This window comes from Homo sapiens, chromosome 2 (genome assembly GCF_000001405.40).
Source record: "Homo sapiens chromosome 2, GRCh38.p14 Primary Assembly".
NCBI classification, from domain to species: Eukaryota; Metazoa; Chordata; class Mammalia; order Primates; family Hominidae; genus Homo; species Homo sapiens.
Window position 1 is genome coordinate 208,774,920 of NC_000002.12, and position 19,896 is coordinate 208,794,815.

At 36.6% G+C, this 19,896-nt stretch overlaps 2 long non-coding RNA genes across 3 annotated transcripts in view; one reads left to right on the forward strand and one right to left on the reverse strand.

Annotated features, from left to right (window-relative positions):
- LOC101927960 (uncharacterized) overlaps window positions 1–19,896 on the forward strand; it is a 282,946-nt gene that overhangs the window by 232,278 nt on the left and 30,772 nt on the right. The gene's annotated exons all lie outside the window — the stretch shown is intronic.
- On the reverse strand, window positions 4,186–18,861 carry LOC105373856 (uncharacterized). 2 transcript variants are annotated; one of them, XR_007088062.1, is made up of 4 exons: window positions 18,645–18,861; window positions 15,891–15,944; window positions 4,668–4,802; window positions 4,186–4,582 (listed from the first exon to the last, which is right to left on the reverse strand). It is a non-coding gene; the product is annotated as an uncharacterized LOC105373856 (long non-coding RNA). The 2 variants fall into 2 exon arrangements; XR_001739863.2 differs by lacking the exon at window positions 18,645–18,861 and having other exon boundaries at window positions 15,891–16,030.

Sequence of the window (19,896 nt, forward strand, 5' to 3'; positions counted from 1 at the left end):
TGGTACCAAAACAGAGATATAGATCAATGGAACAGAACAGAGCCCTCAGAAATAACTCCGCATATCTACAAATATCTGATCTTTGACAAACCTGAGAAAAACAAGCAATGGGGAAAGGATTCTCTATTTAATAAATGGTGCTAGGAAAACTGGCTAGCCATATGTAGAAAGCTGAAACTGGATCCCTTCCTTACACCTTATACAAAAATTAATTCAAGATGGATTAAACACTTAAACCTTAGACCTAAAACCATAAAAACCCTAGAAGAAAACCTAGCATTACCATTCAGGACATAGGCATGGGCAAGGACTTCATGTCCAAAACACCAAAAGCAATGTCAACAAAAGCCAAAATTGACAAATGGGATCTAATTAAACTAAAGAGCTTCTGCACAGCAAAAGAAACTACCATCAGAGTGAACAGGCAACCTACAAAATGGGAGAAAATTTTCACAACCTACTCATCTGACAAAGGGCTAATATCCAGAATCTACAATGAACTCAAACAAATTTACAAGAAGAAAACAAACAACCCCATCAAAAAGTGGGCGAAGGACATGAACAGACACTTCTCAAAAGAAGACATTAATGCAGCTAAAAAACACATGAAAAAATGCTCACCATCACTGGCCATCAGAGAAATGCAAATCAAAACCACAATGAGATACCATCTCACACCAGTTAGAATGGCAATCATTAAAAAGTCAGGAAACAACAGGTGCTGGAGAGGATGTGGAGAAATAGGAACACTTTGACACTGTTGGTGGTACTGTAAACTAGTTCAACCATTTTGGAAGTCAGTGTGGCGATTCCTCAGGGATCTAGAACTAGAAATACCATTTGACCCAGCCATCCCATTACTGGGTATATACCCAAAGGACTATAAATCATGCTGCTATAAAGACACATGCACACGTATGTTTATTGCAGCACTATTCACAATAGCAAAGACTTGGAACCAACCCAAATGTCCAACAATGATAGACTGGATTAAGAAAATGTGGCACATATACACCATGGAATGCTATGCAGCCATAAAAAATGATGAGTTCATGACCTTTGTAGGGACATGGATAAAATTGGAAATCATCATTCTTAGTAAACTATCGCAAGAACAAAAAACCAAACACCGCATATTCTCATTCATAGGTGGGAATTGAACAATGAGAACACATGGACACAGGAAGGGGAACATCACACTCTGAGGACTGTTGTGGGGTGGGGGGAAGGGGGAGGTATAGCATTAGGAGATACACCTAATGCTAAATGACGAGTTAATGGGTGCAGCACACCAGCATGGCACATGTATACATACGTAGCTAACCTGCACATTGTGCACATGTACCCTAAAACTTAAAGTATAATAATAATAAAATTTAAAAAAAGAATATTTCAAAGATTTTTTTTTTCTAAAAATGAGTTTGGGATGGAAATATTTTTTAATCAAAATTTTAAAATAATTTCTTTTTAAAAATACTCTTGATGTTTCTAAACTTCATCTGGAAGAATAAGTGGGTAAAAGAATATAAAAGGAAACTTTGTAACAAGAAAAGGATAAGAAACTTGCTTTACCACATATTAAAATACATTATAAAACAACCATTAAAACTGTAGTTCTAGCCAAGAATCTGTAAATAGATTAATGTTTTAAAATAGAAATAATTAAATTCTAGCATGTTTAATAGGGGAATTTGGCATATACTAAAAAATCACTGGACATCAAAGAAAAACAACATAGATAATTGCATAAATGGCAATAAAAATTGACTTACATTTGTAAAAAGATCTTATTTATAGCTAAATTTCTTACAAGAGCTGTTTATCCTCACAGCCCCAATTTCTCTCCTCCACTCCAATGAAGTTGCCCTTGTCAAGGTCCATCAATAGTCTCCATCTTGCTAACTTCACTTATGCCACGTACTCAAACTACCAGCAAGTCCCATCCACCTTCCATGTATATTTAGAAGCTAGCTACCTCTCACTCCATCTCTACCACTGTCCTAGTTGAGAATACCATCCACTCTCCCCTGAATTATAACAAGTACGAGTGCTTACCTCCTTGCTGTTTCTCAAATTCAAGCAGGATAGCAGCACAGAGAAGGTCCTGGCAACAAGGTCCTGTCCTTCCTTCCCAAGCCCACATGACTCATTCTCTCACTCCTTCAGGACCACTCAATTATCACCTTATCAGAAACATCACTCCTGGCCACCCTCTATAAAACAGTGTCACTTTCACTCTGTGTTCACATCATCTCACTTTGTTTTTATTTATAGCACATCTCCATCTAACATTATGCACTTATTTGTTGATTTGTTTTGATATCTTCTCTCTCTAGAACATAAGTTTCATAAAAACAAAAAATTTAACTTGTTTGCTGCTATGTCCTTCAGCACCGAAGAGTGCCTGGTAGCAATCAGAAGACAAAAATAAAATAAAATAAGTTACATTTTATTTTGCCAAACCAAAGCCATTTAAAGAGCATTATGAATGAAAGCCATTATCTAAGTTTTGGAGCCTCCTTTTCTAGCCTCTCATTTCTTGTTTTATTTTTGCTTTTTTTAATTATACTTTAAGTTATGGGATACATGTGCAGAACATCCAGGTTGGTTACATAGGTATACACGTGCCATGGTGGGTTGCTGCACCCATCAACCCGCCATCTACATTAGGTATTTCTCCTAATGCTATCCTTCCCCTAGCCCCCGACCCATGGTCAGGCCCTGATGTGTGATGTTCCCCTCTCTGTGTCCATGTGTTCTCATTGTTCAGCTCTCACTTATGAATGAGAACATGTGGTGTTTGGTTTTCTGTTCCTGTGTTAGTTTGCTGAAAATAATGGTTTCCAGCTTCATTCATGTCCCTGCAAAGGACATGAACTCATCCTTTTTTATGGCTGTGCAGTATTCCACGGTGTATATGTACCACATTTTCTTTATCCAGTCTATCATTGATGGGCATTTGGGTTGGTTCCAAGTCTTTGCTATTGTGAATAGTGCTGCAATAAACATATGTGTGCATGTGTCTTTATAGTAGAGTGATTTATAATCCTTTGGGTATAATAAACATATGAAAAAAAGCTCATCATCACTAGTCATTAGAAAAATGCAAATCAAAACCATAATAAGGTACCATCTCACACCAGTTAGAATGGCAATCATTAAAAAATCAGGAAACAACAGATGCTGGAAAGGATGTGGAGAAATAGGAATGCTTTTACACTGTCGGTGAGAGTGTAAATTAGTTCAACCATTGTGGAAGACAGTGTGCCTATTCCTCAAAGATCTAGAACCAGAAATATCATTTGATGTAGCCTCTCATTTCTAACCAATAAAGATAAGTAATAACATGCTTTTTGTAGCATGGCAGAAGACATGTTATAGATATTGCTACAATGTCATATCAGAACTAGTATCTAGAATATATGAAGAATTTTCAAAAATCAACAATAAAACAAGGAAACAATTTAACCAGAAAATGGGAAAAAGACTTGAAGAGACATTTCACCAAGGATCTGGCAAATAAGCACATGAAAGAAACTCAATATCATTAGTTATTAAAGGAATGAAAATTAAAACCACAATGAGATGTCACTAATACACCTATCAAAATGACTAAAATAAAACGACAGTGATAACCCTAAATGCTGACCGGGATATGGAAAAACTGGATCATTTTACAACGCTAATGGGAATTTAAAATGGTACTGTAACTCTTGAAAAGAGGGTAACCACATATTAAATTGAAGAACTGGAGGTGAGGGAAAGACAAACATGAAATGCTCTTTGGTTAAAGTGTCTCTATTAATGCAAAATCTAAAGCACGTAAAACTGCCTTGGTGATTTAGAACATCTCTTATTCTTTCATAAGTTTTTAGTTAAATGTTCCCGTAATATACATAAAATATGCAAAAGTCATGATCACTTAAATTTTAAAGTCTCTTTATAAAATAAAGATTTAAGACAATCAACTTTTAACATAACCTTTAAAGAATGTACCTTGAAATCTATTATGAAACAGGACTGTACCATGTGTTTCATTCCATTCTCTCTCTCTACGAAGCAACTTTCAGAAGCAGCATTAAAGTGAATCTTGCTTTCTTAATGCAAAGATCTATTCTAATTAAATACATGAAGTAAAATATTTAGGAGTATCTCTGATAAAGTACTTACACTATGATACAAGCCAGCATTCCTGTTTTTAAAATATTTAATGTTCATTTGCTTTATAAGCTTCTTATTTTGACGTAATTATAGATTCCCATGCAGTTATAAGAAAAAATGCAAAGCCACGTAAGCTCCCATGAAAGCTTCATCTAGTTTCTCCCAATGGTCATATTTTATACAACTGTAGTAAAATATCACAATTTAAAAACTGACACAGATAAAATCCACTGACCTTATTCAGATTTTGCCAGTTTTACATACATTCGTGTGTGCGGTGTGTGTACTTCATTCTGTGTAATATCATCGCATGTGTAGACTCACCACTGCACTCAAAGTACAGGTCACTTCCATCACAGGGCTCCTTTGTGCTATCATTTTGTAGATGCTGCCAACTTCCTTGCTCCTTTATTCCCGAAACCTGGAAACCACAAATTTGTTTCTCCATCTCATTAATTTTTCCATTTCAAAACTGTATTAGAGGTGGGATGATATAGCAATATAACCTTTTGATATTGGCTTTTTCCACTCAGAGTAACTCCCTTGAGGTTTATCCAATTTGTGCAGGCAGTAATAGTTTATTTTTCTTGCTGAGTAGGATTCTGTGGTGTGGATGTATCATCATTTGTTTCATTATTCACCTGTTGAAGTACATTTGGGTTGTTAGAATTATTTAATATTTTACTTCATGTGTTATATAATTATATAGTTATATCTATAAATATGTAATATAAAATTTGATAAAAATTATGCTATAAATATAATTATATGGCATATAAGTACAGAAACACTATAATTTTTTCTTTATTTTCAAGGAAACGCATATAGAAGAGAGGTAGATAGGTATACTCCACATGTGATTTTGAGCCAGTTCTGCAGTATTTTACATATCACATCGTGTTTGGGAAGGTCTCCAAGTATCTTGCAAATATAATTTATTTATTTTAATATCAACTCCCTTTAAGGGGTTACATAACTTAGGGTCATTCCACATTTTATTTTCCTGAGACATTAACTTATGGTCTTTGCTTGACTTGTATATGAACTCCAAATTTGTTAACTAGTAGGGGTTCTATGAAATACATCTTTTCTCCTCATCTTTTTGTCTCTTCTACCCTCATATAATCATATAATTATTCAATTTTTCCAGTCATCCAATGGTTGTTGTTCTCTCCATGTTGTTTTTATTTTATAATACTTACTGTGCTGCTAAGGTTCTCTATTTGTACCGTTGAACACCATCTTCAAGTACTTTACTTTTTAAAAAATAAATATTATCTTGTGTAAACCTATGAATAATCCAATATTTTGTTACAACTGATATTGATTATAAAATTCTTTAGTTGCAACTTTTTAAATTCAAAGTTTTGTAACTATTTTCTCATTGTATTTTGGCATCCAGTATTGCAGAGAAAATACTAAAGGGCATCATAATATTTGCATTTTTGTAGTTAATTTCTTTTTATAATGCTGACTTTTTGCTTATTTTTGCTTTTATTCTTTGTAGCTCAAATATTTTGTCAAAAATTTTGTCTAGGTGTGGGTTTATTTCATCAATATTTTCCTGCTAAAATCTATGAACCAACTCAGCTTGTACATACAGGTCTTGCTTTGACTCTGAAGATTATTTGAAAAATTTAAATCTTCTATTCATTCTATTTTTTCTTTTCAAAATATCTGCATATGCACTTCATACTGCTAATTTTTTCTCTAGTGGTTTTTATTGCTTTTATTTTCTTAGAAATCTGTTTTTTGTTCTTCCTGTCACTGATTTGATTTTGTACTCCAAGTCTCCTGCTTATTTATTTTGGGTACTTTATTTTATATTTCTACTCTTGCATTTCAAGTTTCTCTTGCTCCTCTCTTATTTCAGTTTTGTCCTTTTTTATCTCAGCTTGTTTGATTCCACAGGATATCTTCCAGATGCTGTTCTGTTATTATGATTTTTTTATAGGCACGTATTACTTATTTTTAAACTTAGTTTCAAAGAACTTGGGTCTGCAAATACATTATTTTGACAATATGGATGGATTATCCTTGCTTCCATTTTGTGTCTGCATGAATGATGTTACATCTTTTCCAATTAGTGCAATTTCCAATCTCTGGCTGCCTGTATTTTTTTTTTCTTACAGTTGTACTTCTAAAAGCCCTGAGTTTCAGATCATCAGTCATTCTTAGTCAATACAATATATGAAATCCTAAAATTCTCAGAGCTCCCTTTCCTGCACTTTGCAACAAATATGAAGGAAGCTGGTTTTGGCAGGCCCGGGGTGTGTTGGCAGGGGTGGGTACTGCACTGAGGATTTTTCCTAACTTACATCATCCTGTAGTGTTTAGTAATGGAAGATAATACCTCTTAAAATGTACTGCAGCAGAATAGATACTTTGTTGCATGTGCTTTTTTCCCTGATTTCCAATTTCTCATTAAAACTGGTGACAGATTTAGCAGGCTAGAGATTGAGGACACTTTATGATGCTTTATGAAAGAGCTTTACAGTGGTAAAAGTAACAACACACAATTTTTAATAGTAGAAGAGATATAGAATATTTTCTACTTTTATAGATTGACTGTTCCATGATATGAAGCCAGACTACTCTGTTCACTGAAACGTGGATAGATTTTCTTTCTCCATCGTCTTCCAGCTATGTTGCAATTAATGTCAGTTCTTTCCAGATTCTGGAATAAAGGTCTATGTACATTCAGAAGTTTCTTTTTCACTGTTAAGAGTTATCATTTTGTGTTTTATTTTTATTTTTTACTTTTAGGAGAATTTGTAAGAAACTGAATTAAGGGTTTCTATTATGGTAACTTATTGAAGTTGAAGCCTGCAAATTTTTTTTATAAACAATTTATAAAGCACACACAAGCAATTCAGATGATGCATGAGTTGCTATTTAGAGTAGATGGTACCGAACCTGTGCTAGCCAGATGGATATTCATTCGTTTTCTCCTTTTCAAGGGAAATCTTGATTATTTTCATGAATGTATGCAGAATCTCCTAATACTTGGACTAAACAAGCTTTAATATTACTGGAAATTGTGAGGAATAATTTTCCGATTTATCATTAGAAATTCAAGCATATTTTTACCTGTTACATATGGTTCATGAAGGGATTAAAAAACATAATTGTAATTATTCATATAACCATGTGTCAGAAAATTTATGTTATGTAATCGATATTTCAGACCCTTAGAGGTGCTGGGCTATTATTTTTTGCTATGTAAGCATTTGTTTGGCCTGAAAAGTGATCACACACACACACACACACACACACACACACACGGTGTCTGAAGAGTTAGGAAACAGTGGAAAATTTATTTATGTATTTCTGAGACGGAGTCTTGCTCTGTCCCCCAGGCTGGAATACAGTGGCGCAATCTCGGCTCACTGCAACCTCTGCCTCTTGGGTTCAAGTGATTCTCCTGCCTCAGCCTCCGAGTAGCTGGGATTACAGGCATGTGCGACCATCCCAGGCTATTTTTTTGTATTTTTAGTAGAGACGGGGTTTCACCATGTTGGTCAGGCTGGTCTCGAACTCCTGACCTGATGATCCGCCCAACTCAGCCTCCCAAAATGCTGGGATTATAGGCGTGAACCACCGTGCCCAGCCAGGAAAACTTATTTTTAAAGAGTAATTAAATTATATTTTCGAATAATATGCTGAATATATTTTTCCTTTAACCAAAGCATTTCAGGTTAAGTAGTTTGAAGTGTAAAGTAATGGGATCAATTTTTAACCTGAAAAAATTCAGTATGAAGTATTTTATTCCAAGACTTAAATTCTTTGGAATGGATTCTTTATTTCAAGGCTTAAGTCCTTTGGGATGACTTCTACACTAATTTCTGGTTTTCTGACTTTTTTTAGATGTATGTGGCTGTATCTTTTTAATGATTTTAAATGACCATTTTAAACTGGTATGGACCATAAGAGATGTATTTTATCTCATACAAATAAAAGGCAAGAAGAAGGGCAAACTTCAGGTCTAGAATTAAGTGGCATAAACATGTATTTAATGTTCTATCTACCTGCATTAGGCAATTTAGGTTATATGCCTAGGCATGGACCAATAATTATAACTAGGAGAATTCTACATGCTTTTTGGGCTCAAATCTTTATTTTGTTGAGAAGAACAGAGGTAAAATGGATTCTGGGTAGGCAACAATTGCTAACATTTAAAAAGCTAAGAGGTCTCATGCATAAATCTGAATTTCTAGTTTCTAATAAAGACTGAAAAACTTTGAGCCTGTATTTCCACAACACATTAGCTGGGGTTGTGTAACTAAATGACTACCACCCCCTTGAGGTGAGACAGTCCAGCTCCTGTTTGCACCACTTTCAGCCACTTAGGATTATTTTGTATGCCTTGTTTACTTCACTCCTTTAATCACCTGGCTCTTGTAGGCATTTGCATTTATTGCTCCTGTTGTATTTTGTTTTACCACATCATATAATTTTCCCTAAACTCTTCTCAAGATTATTTTAATTCCAAGACAAGTCCTTTGGAATAGGTTCTACAGATTTTTCTTTTAATTTCACTAAAAAATGGGCTCCAGATTTAAAATCTTTAAAATTAAAAGTTTTATCTCCCATACCAGTAAAGTGATAAAATTATGTTATAATTACTTGTTTTTAATTTCTATTTTTATTGCTTAGTATGAAGCCTAATAAACCTAGTTGTTTTATTTTAAATTCACAGTATTTCCTCTTGAAGTTAGAATATTTTTCAGAAATTTTTTGTATATGTCTTCCTATATTTCTGTCTCAACCTGTCTCTGTATAATCATCTACATGTAGCTGATCTAAGTCATTTATATCTATGTCTATCTATCTAATTGGAAAATAGTTTTGGCAGAATTCTGTGGTCAGCTGTAGTTACCAGATTGTGATGAATAGCATTTTCCTCTTTTCTGGTTAGCCATTCAAAGGAAGAATGTTTCCTAACTTGATATATATAGTATTTACTAGATCTGATTTCTTAATTATCACTATGCTCCCAAACACTATTCTGTGCTTTTCAAATTTGTACTTCTTTCTTTGCCTGCTGATTCCTAATGTGTATCTAATAAAAAGAATTACCAACAAATAAAGATAAGAATAATAATTTAGAATTTTTCTTTTTGATCATAATGCACTCTGAAGACAATTTGATGTGGATTGAAACTCAGGGGTAAGAGGGGTGGGGCCAAGATGGCCGAATAGGAACAGCTCCCATCTACAGCTCCCAGCATGAGAGACACAGAAGATGGGTGATTTCTGCATTTCCATCTGAGGTACCCGGTTCATCTCACTAGGGAGTGCCAGAGAGTGGGTGCAGGACAGTGGGTGCAGTGCACTGTGTGTGAGCCGAAGCAGGGCGAGGCATTGCCTCACTTGGGAAGTACAAAGAGTCAGGGAGTTCCCTTTCCTAGTCAAAGAAAGGAGTGACAGACAGCACCTGGAAAATCAGGTCACTCCCACCCTAATACTGCGCTTTTCCAAGGGGCTTAAAAAATGGCACACCAGGAGATTATATCCTGCACCTGGCTCGGAGGGTCCTACACCCATGGAGTCTTGCTGATTGCTGGCACAGCAGTCTGAGATCAAACTGCAAGGTGGCAGAGACGCTGGGGGAGGGGCGTGTGCCATTGCCCAGGCTTGCTTAGGTAAACAAAGCAGTAAGGAACCTCGAACTGAGTGGAGCCCACCACAGCTCAAGGAGGTGTGCCTGCCTCCATAGGCTCCACCTCTGGGAGCAGGGCACAGACAAACAAAAAGACAGCAGTAACCTCTGCAGAATTAAATGACCCTGTCTGACTGACAGCTTTGAAGAGAGTAGTGGTTCTCCCAGCACGCAGCCGGAGATCTGGGAACGGGCAGACTGCCACCTCAAGTGGGTCCTTGACCCCCGAGCAGCCTAACTGGGAGGCACCCCCTAGTAGGGGCAGACTGACACCTCACACGGCCGGGCACTCCTCTGGGACAAAACTTCCAGAGGAACGATCAGGCAGCAGCATTTGTGGTTCACCAAGATCTGCTGTTCTACAGCCACCGCTGTTCTGCAGCCACCACTGCTGATACCCAGGAAAACAGGGTCCGGAGTGGACCTCTAGCAAACTCCAACAGACCTGCAGCTGAGGGTCCTGTCTGTTAGAAGGAAAAGTAACAAACAGAAAGGACATCCACACCAAAAACCCTTCTGTACGTCACCATCATCAAAGGCCAAAAGTAGATAAAACCACAAAGATGGGGAAAAAACAGAGCAGAAAAGCTGGAAACTCTAAAAAGCAGAGCGTCTCTCCTCCTCCAAAGGAATGCAGCTCCTCACCAGCAATGGAACAAAGCTGCACGGAGAACGACTTTGACGAGTTGAGAGAAGAAGGCTTCAGACGATCAAACTACTCTGAGCTACAGGAGGAAATTCAAACCAAAGGCAAAGAAGTTAAAAACTGTGAGAAAAAATTAGACGAATGGATAACTAGAATAACCAATGCAGAGAAGTCCTTAAAGGAGATGACGGAGCTGAAAGCCAAGGCTCGAGAAATACGTGAAGAATGCAGAAGCCTCGGGAGCCAATGTGATCAACTGGAAGAAAGGGTATCAGTGATGGAAGATGAAATGAATGAAATGAAGTGAGAAGGAAAGTTTAGAGAAAAAAGAATAAAAAGAAATGAACAAAGCCTCCAAGAAATATGGGACTATGTGAAAAGACCAAATTTACGTCTGATTGGCATACCTGAAAGTGATGGGGAGAATGGAACCAAGTTGGAAAACACTCTGCAGGATATTATCCAGGAGAACTTCCCCAATCTAGCAAGGCAGGCCAACATTCACATTCAGGAAATACAGAGAACGCCACAAAGATACTCCTCGAGAAGAGCAACTCCAAGACACATAATTGTCAGATTCACCAAAGTTGAAATGAAGGAAAAAATGTTAAGGACAGCCAGAGAGAAAGGTCGGGTTACCCACAAAGGGAAGCCCATCAGACTAACAGCAGATCTCTCGGCAGAAACTCTACAAGCCAGAAGAGAGTGGGGGCCAATATTCAACATTCTTAAAGAAAAGAATTTTCAACCCAGAATTTCACATCCAGTCAAACTAAGCTTCATAAGTGAACGAGAAATAAAATACTTTACAGAGAAGCAAATGCTGAGAGATTTTGTCACCACCAGGCCTGTCCTAAAAGAGCTCCTGAAGGAAGCACTAAACATGGAAAGGAAAAACCGGTACCAGCCACTGCAAAAACATGCCAAAAAGTAAAGACCATCAATGCTAGGAAGAAACTGCATCAACTAATGAGCAAAATCACCAGCTAACATCATAATGACAGGATCAAATTCACACATAACAATATTAACTTTAAATGTAAATGGGCTAAGTGCTCCAATTAAAAGACACAGACTGGCAAATTGGATAAAGAGTCAAGACCCATCAGTGTGCTGTATTCAGGAAACCCATCTCAAATGCAGAGACACACATAGGCTCAAAATAAAGGGATAGAGGAAGATCTACCAAGCAAATGGAAAACAAAAAAAGGCAGGGGTTGCAATCCTGGTCTCTGATAAAACAGACTTTAAACCAACAAAGATCAAAAGAGACAAAGAAGGCCACTACATAATGGTAAAGGGATCAATTCAACAAGAAGAGATAACTATCCTAAATATATATGCACCCAATACAGGAGCACCCAGATTCATAAAGCAAGTCCTTAGTGACCTACAAAGAGACTTAGACTCCTACATAATAATAATGGGAGACTTTAACACCCCACTGTCAACATTAGACAGATCAACGAGACTGAAAGTTAACAAGGATACCCAGGAATTGAACTCAGCTCTGCACCAAGCAGACCTAATAGACATCTACAGAACTCTCCACCCCAAATCAACAGAATATACATTTTTTTCAGCACCACACCACACCTATTCCAAAATTGACCACATAGTTGGAAGTAAAGCTCTCCTCAGCAAATGTAAAAGAACAGAAATTATAACAAACTGTCTCTCAGACCACAGTGCAATCAAACTAGAACTCAGGACTAAGAAATTCACTCCAAACCACTCAACTACATGGAAACTGAACAACCTGCTCCTGAATGACTACTGGATACATAACGAAATGAAGGCAGAAATAAAGATGTTCTTTGAAACCAACGAGAACAAAGACACAACATATCAGAATCTCTGGGACGCATTCAAAGCAGTGTGTAGAGGGAAATTTATAGCACTAAATGCCCACAAGAGAAAGCAGGAAACATCCAAAATTTGACACCCTAACGTCACAATTAAAATAACTAGAAAAACAAGAGCAAACACATTCAAAAGCTAGCAGAAGGCAAGAAATAACTAAAATCAGAGCAGAACTGAAGGAAATAGAGACACAAAAAACCCTTCAAAAAATTAATGAATCCAGGAGCTGGTTCTTTGAAAAGATCAACAAAATCGATAGACCGCTAGCAAGACTATTAAAGAAGAAAAGAGAGAAGAATCAAATAGACACAATAAAAAATGATAAAGGGGATATCACCACTGATCCCATAGAAATACAAACTACCATCAGAGAATACTACAAACACCTCTACGCAAATAAACTAGAAAATCTAAAAGAAATGGATAAATTCCTCGACACATACACCCTCCCAAGACTAAATCAGGAGAAATTGAATCTCTGAATAGACCAATAACAGGCTCTGAAATTGTGGCAAGAATCACTAGCTTACCAACCAAAAAAAGTCCAGAACCAGATGGATTCACAGCTGAATTCTACCAGAGGTACAAGGATGAGCTGGTACCTACTATTCCTTCTGAAACTATTCCAATCAATAGAAAAAGAGGGAATCCTCCCTAACTCATTTCATGAGGCCAGCATCATCCTGATACCAAAGCCAGGCAGAGACACAACCAAAAAAGAGAATTTTAGACCAATATCCTTGATGAACATTGATGCAAAAATCCTCAATAAAATACTGGCAAAACGAATCCAGCAGCACATCAAAAAGCTTATCCACCATGATCAAGTGGGCTTCATCCCTGGGATGCAAGGCTGGTTCAACATACGCAAATCAATAAATGTAATCCAGCACAGAAACAGAACCAAAGACAAAAACCACATGATTATCTCAATAGATGCAGAAAAGGCCTTTGACAAAATTCAACAACGCTTCATGCTAAAAACTCTCAATAAATTAGGTATTGATGGGACGTATCTCAAAATAATAAGAGCTATCTATAACAAACCCACAGCCAATATCATACTGAATGGGCAAAAATTGGAAGGATTCCCTTTGAAAACTGGCACAAGACAGGGATGTCCTCTCTCACCACTCCTATTCAACATAGTGTTGGAAGTTCTATCCAGGGCAATTAGGCAGGAGAAAGAAATAAAAAGTATTCAATTAGGAAAAGAGGAAGTCAAATTGTCCCTGTTTGCAGATGACATGATTGTATATCTAGAAAACCCCACTGTCTCAGCTCAAAATCTCCTTAAGCTGATAAGCAACTTCAGCAAAGTCTCAGGATACAAAATCAATGTACAAAACTCACAAGCATTCTTATACACCAATAACAGACAAACAGAGAGCCAAATCATGAGTGAACTCCCATTCACAATTGCTTCAAAGAGAATAAAATACCTAGGAATCCAACCTACAAGGGATGTGAAAGACCTCTTCAAGGAGAACTACAAACCACTGCTCAACGAAATAAAAGAGGATACAGACAAATGGAAGAACATTCCATGCTCATGGGTAGGAAGAATCAATATCATGAAAATGGCCACACTGCCCAAGGTAATTTACAGATTGAATGCCATCCCCATCAAGCTATCAATGACTTTCTTCACAGAATTGGAAAAAACTACTTTAAAGCTCATATGGAACCAAAAAAGAGCCCGCATCACCAAGTCAATCCTAAGCCAAAAGAACAAAGCTGGAGGCATCACGCTACCTGACTTCAAACTATACTACAAGGCTACAGTCACCAAAACAACATGGTACTGGTACCAAAACAGAGATATAGATCTGTGGAACAGAACAGAGCCCTCAGAAATAATGCCGCATATCTACAACCATCTGATCTTTGACAAACCTGACAAAAACAAGCAATGGGGAAAGGATTCCCTATTTAATAAATGGTGCTGGGAAAACTGGCTATCCATATGTAGAAAGCTGAAACTGGATCCCTTCCTTACACCTTATACAAAAAGTAATTCAAGATGGATTAAAGACTTACATGTTAGACCTAAAACTATAAAAACCGTAGAAGAAAACCTAGGCAATACCATTCAGGACATAGGCATGGGCAAGGACTTCATGTCTAAAACACCAAAAGCAATGGCAACAAAAGCCAAAAGTGACAAATGGGATCTAATTAAATTAAAGAGCTTCTGCACAGCAAAAGAAACTACCATCAGAGTGAACAGGCAACCTACAAAATGGGAGAAAATTTTCACAACCTACTCATCTGACAAAGGGCTAATATCCAGAATCTGCAATGAACTCAAACACATTTACAAGAAAAAAACAACCCCATCAAAAAGTGGGCGAAGGACATGAACAGACACGTCACAAAAGAAGACGTTTATGCAGCCAAAAGACACATGAAAAAATGCTCACCATCAATGGCCATCAGAGAAATGCAAATCAAAACCACAATGAGATACCATTTCACACCAGTTAGAATGGCAATCATTAAAAAGTCAGGAAACAACAGGTGCTGGAGAGGATGTGGAGAAATAGGAACACTTTGACACTGTTGGTGGGATTGTGAACTAGTTCAACCATTGTGGAAGTCAGTGTGGCGATTCCTCAGGGATCTAGAACTAGAAATACCATTAGACCCAGCCATCCCATTACTGGGTATATACCCAAAGGAGTATAAATCATGCTGCTATAAAGACACATGCCATGTATGTTTATTGTGGCACTATTCACAATAGCAAAGACTTGGAACCAAGCCAAATGTCCAACAACGATAGACTGGATTAAGAAAATGTGGCACATATACACCATGGAATACTATGCAGTCATAAAAAATGAAGAGTTTGTGTCCTTTGTAGGGACATGGATGAAACTGGAAACCATCATTCTGAGCAAACTATCGCAAGGACAAAAACCAAACACCTCATGTTCTCACTCATAGGTGGGAATTGAACAATGAGAACACATGGACACAGGAAGGGGAACATCACACTCCGGAGACTGTTGTGCGTTGGGGTGGGGGGAGGGATTGCATTAGGAGATATATCTAATTCTAAATGAGGAGTTAATGGGTGTAGCACACCAACATGGCACATGTATACATATGTAACAAACCTGCACATTGTGCACATGTACCCTAAAACTTAAAGTATAATAATAATAAAATAAAAATAAACTCAGGGGTAGGAAATATTTTTGTTAGATGCTGTAAATAGATAATTGCATTTATATTTATGTCCTATGGTTACATGCTATTTGATCACATAGACATAGAACACAAATACAAATGTAATTGTAGCAAGAATTTTCACCAATGGTTTTTTAAATGTTATTCCTTAAATATATTTTCCCTGAATTTGTCATCTTTACAATGAATAGTATTTGAAGATAATATTGTTTTTATATGACTGAATTATGGAAATGATTAAAATTGAAAATAATCTTTTGAAGGTACATACAGGCTAGTGAAAGGCATTCAATGGACCATTTACAGTTGCTTCTTCAGCTACTGTCCTTAAAATGTTTATTTTTAAAAGGAACCAGTTCTTACCAAGCTTTGAGGTGCTATGACTTCCTTTGTCTTTCAGTCAAAGTCAGTGTTGTGCTTAAAGGAAATAAATGCTTGTGAGAAGTAAAACACAAAACTTCATGATAATAAGGGTAACAAAAATAATTCAACAGGTACTGACTTTCCAAATAAAACTACGTGCAACTTGAAAAAATAATTTCTTTCATAGAAGACATGAATCAACCCAGTATGAAGTTATGCATTATTCCTATTTGCACTGGACCTCTGTTTTATCTCTCCAGGAGGCAGATTTTCTATTTTTTAGAAAATTATAGTAAGAAAAAATGAGAGTCAAAGTAATATAAATGCTCTAGAAGCTCCTATCAATGTGGCAACACTAAATACTGAACATTAGGAAATCAAAGTACTTGGGGCTTTTAATAATTCTATTTTGCTTACCAAGCCACTGTTTTTTCAGCTCCTCTTAAAATCTCCTTCTATACAATCTTTAAACTGATTAGAGAATTTTTTAAAGTGAGTTTTATTGAGGTGTGGTTATGAGAAAACTCACCAATTTTAAATGTACGTTTTGATGAGATTTGACAAACGTATACACTCAGGTAATACCAGCATAATGAAGATACGCGCTATTCCCATTGCTAAAATATTCCCTTGTATGCATGCCATTCTTGGCAATTACTAATAGAGCTGTCACAGATATCATGTACTGATTTTTATATAAATGTAAATTTTTCTTTTACTTAAGTAAATACCTAGCCGTGAGATTGATAGGTCATACGGTATGTGTTGAAATATATAAGAAACTGGCAAACCATTCTCCAGGGTGACTGTTGTACAATTTTGCATTCCTTCTAACACTTAGTTATTCTGCGTCATCATTGGCACTTGGTATTGTCAGTTTTTTCCCAAACATTACCCATAGTAATGGGTGAGAAGTGGAATCACACTGTGGTTTTAATTTGCATTTTCCTACTGACTAATCATGTTGAGCATCTTTTCATGTGCATATTTACCAACTGGATATCTTCTTTAGTGACCACTTATTTTTTTTTTTTTTTTGAGATGGAGTCTCAATCTGTTACCCAGGCTGAAGTGCAGTGGCATGACCTTGGCTCACTGCAAGCTCTGCCTCCCGGGTTTACACCATTCTCCTGCTTCAGCCTCCCGAGTAGCTGGGACTACAGGCACCTGCCACCATGCCCAGCTAATTTTTTGTATTTTTAGTAGAGACAGAGTTTCACTGTGTTAGCCAGGATGGTCTTGATCTCCTGACCCCATGATCTGCCCGCCTCAGCCTCCCAAAGTCCTGGGATTACAGGCTTGAGCCACCACGCCTGGCCTTTAGTGACTACTTTTAACTGTTAAAATCATTTGCCCATTTTTATGATTGGGTTGTTTGTCCTCTTGTACTTCCATTGTACTTTACATAGGCAAAGAAAATGTGCAAATACATTTTAAATATGATATTATTTATAATATTATCAAATATGAAATATCTAAAGTTAAAATTTTAAAACATGCACAACTTTTAAGTTTAAAGCATTGCTGGGAGAAGTTAAAGAAGTAGTTGTTAATGAATAATGAATGAAGAGATACACTTTCTTCATGGATTGGCAGGCTCATTATTGTTAAGGTGACAATTTTCCTCAATTTGATCTCTGTATTTAATGTAATCCAAGTCAAAATCCTGGTAGACTTTTTGTTGAAATTAAGAAATTGATTCTACGTTTTATATGGAAATGCAAAGTACCTAGAATTACCACAATACATTTGAACTTACCAGAAAACAAACTCCACTTGGCTAAGATGTACTATTTATTTTATATATTGGTGGATTTTATGTGTTAATACTGAATATTTTTGTGTCTATATCACGTGGGTTATTTGTTTGTAATATTATTTCTTTGTATTCTTTTTTTGTTTGTTTGTTTTGAGATGGAGTTTCGCTCTTGTTGCCCAGGCTGGAGTGCAATGGTGCAATAACGGCTCACTGTAACCTCCGCCTCCCAGGTACAAGCTATTCTCCTGTCTCAGCCTCCCAAGTAGCTTAGATTACAGGCATGCGCCACCAGGCCCAGCTAATTTTTTTGTATTTTGTAGAGACAGGGTTTCACCGTGTTAGTCAGGCTGGTCATGAACTCCTGACCTCAGGTGATCTACCCGCTTGGCTTTCCAGAGTGCTGGGTTTACAGGCGTGCACGAACATGCCCAGCCTGTTTGGTTTTTAAAATCAGAGTAATGTTGACCTCGTATGATATGTTGGAAAATGTTGCTTTCTCTTCTATTTGGAGAGAAAAAAATGGAGGACTTTCTCTACATGATTTTAATACTAGCTATGAAACTATAGTAATCAGAAGAGTAGTGTAAGAATAGATTCATGGATTAGTAAATAGAATCAAGAGTCCAGAAACAAATCAGTCCATATATGTGAAAGTGACATTTGACAGTTTTCCAAAGTAATTGAATGGGAAAAGAATAGACTTTTAACAAATGCTGCTATAATTATTAGAGATATTCATAAGCAAGAAAATGAACCTTGATTCTTACCTCATACCATATGTGAAAAGTGACTTGAAATGGATTTTAGATTTTTGTGTAATAACTAAAATTATAAAACTTCCTGAAGAACATGTATGAAACATTATTTACAATTTTAGGAAGAAACATTTTTTTAAATGGTGTATTTGCTAGGGTTCCAATAGAATAGATGTGTGTGTGTGTATATATATATATATGTATGTATATATATAGAGAGAGAGTAAGGAATTAGCTCACGTCATCATGAAGGCTGACAAGTCCCCAGATCTGCAGTTGACAAGCTGGAGACACAGAAATGCTGATGGTGCAGTTCCAGTCCAAAGGCCTAGAGGCTTGGGATCCAGAAAGACCAGCGTTTCAGTATGAGTCTGATGGCAGCAAAAACACTGATGTTCCACCTCAAGGCAGTCACGCAGGAGGAAATTCCCTCTTATTCAGGCATTTTGTTTAATTCAGGTCTCAGCTGACTGGATGAGGCCTACCTACATCAGAAAGGTCAACCTTGAATATGATCCCAAACACCTTCACAGATCCACCCCAGATAATGCTTGACCAAATATCTGGGGATTCTGCCCAGCCCAGTTGACACGCAAAATCAACCATTGCAAATGGGCATGCACACAGATACAAATACCTTTAATGAAAACATTTGGATAATCAGACTTCATCAAAGTGAACGACTTTGCTCTTCAAAACATACCATTAAAAAATTAAGACAGACCCCAGACCTTAGTATTTGACATATTTTAGCATATGTCAGTATGAAAGTATTTGCAAAATGTGTCTGATACAGGAGGTATATCCAGATTGAATAAAAAATTTTTTCAGCTTAATTTTAAAAAGACAAACAGCTCTATTTAAAATAACACGTAATATATTTGAACAATCATATAATCAGAGAAGATAGATGAATGGATATTAAATAATCACATAAAAAGATGTTCAACATTTTTAATCATAAGGGAAATGAAAGTGAAAACCACAATGAGATATCATTGTGCACTCATTTGCTTCGTTAAAATTTAAGAAGGTTGACATTATCAATATCAATTGCTGCTGAAGATTAGAACAACTAGCACTCTCATACACATATACCTAGTTAGTAGAAATGCAAACTGCTATATTTGGTTCGGGAAGCCATTTGGCGTTTTCTGATAAAGGCAAATATTCATTTACCAGAAATTCCACTGTTAGGTATTTGCCTTACAGAAGTGAGCAAACATTGCCACACAAAGATTCGCACTTGAATGTTCATAGCAGCTTTATTTAAAATAACCAAAATATGTAAGAAATTTGATGTTTAACTGGCTAATGAATAAATAAATAGTGGCATATCAATAAGACAGGATACTGCTCAGCAAAACAATGACAACAAAACCACTACTAGGTGAAGAAATATGAATAGATCTCAAGAACATTATGCTAAGTGATAGAAGCCAGGAACAAATGCTCATGTACTACATGATTTCATTTCTGTGACATTCTAGAA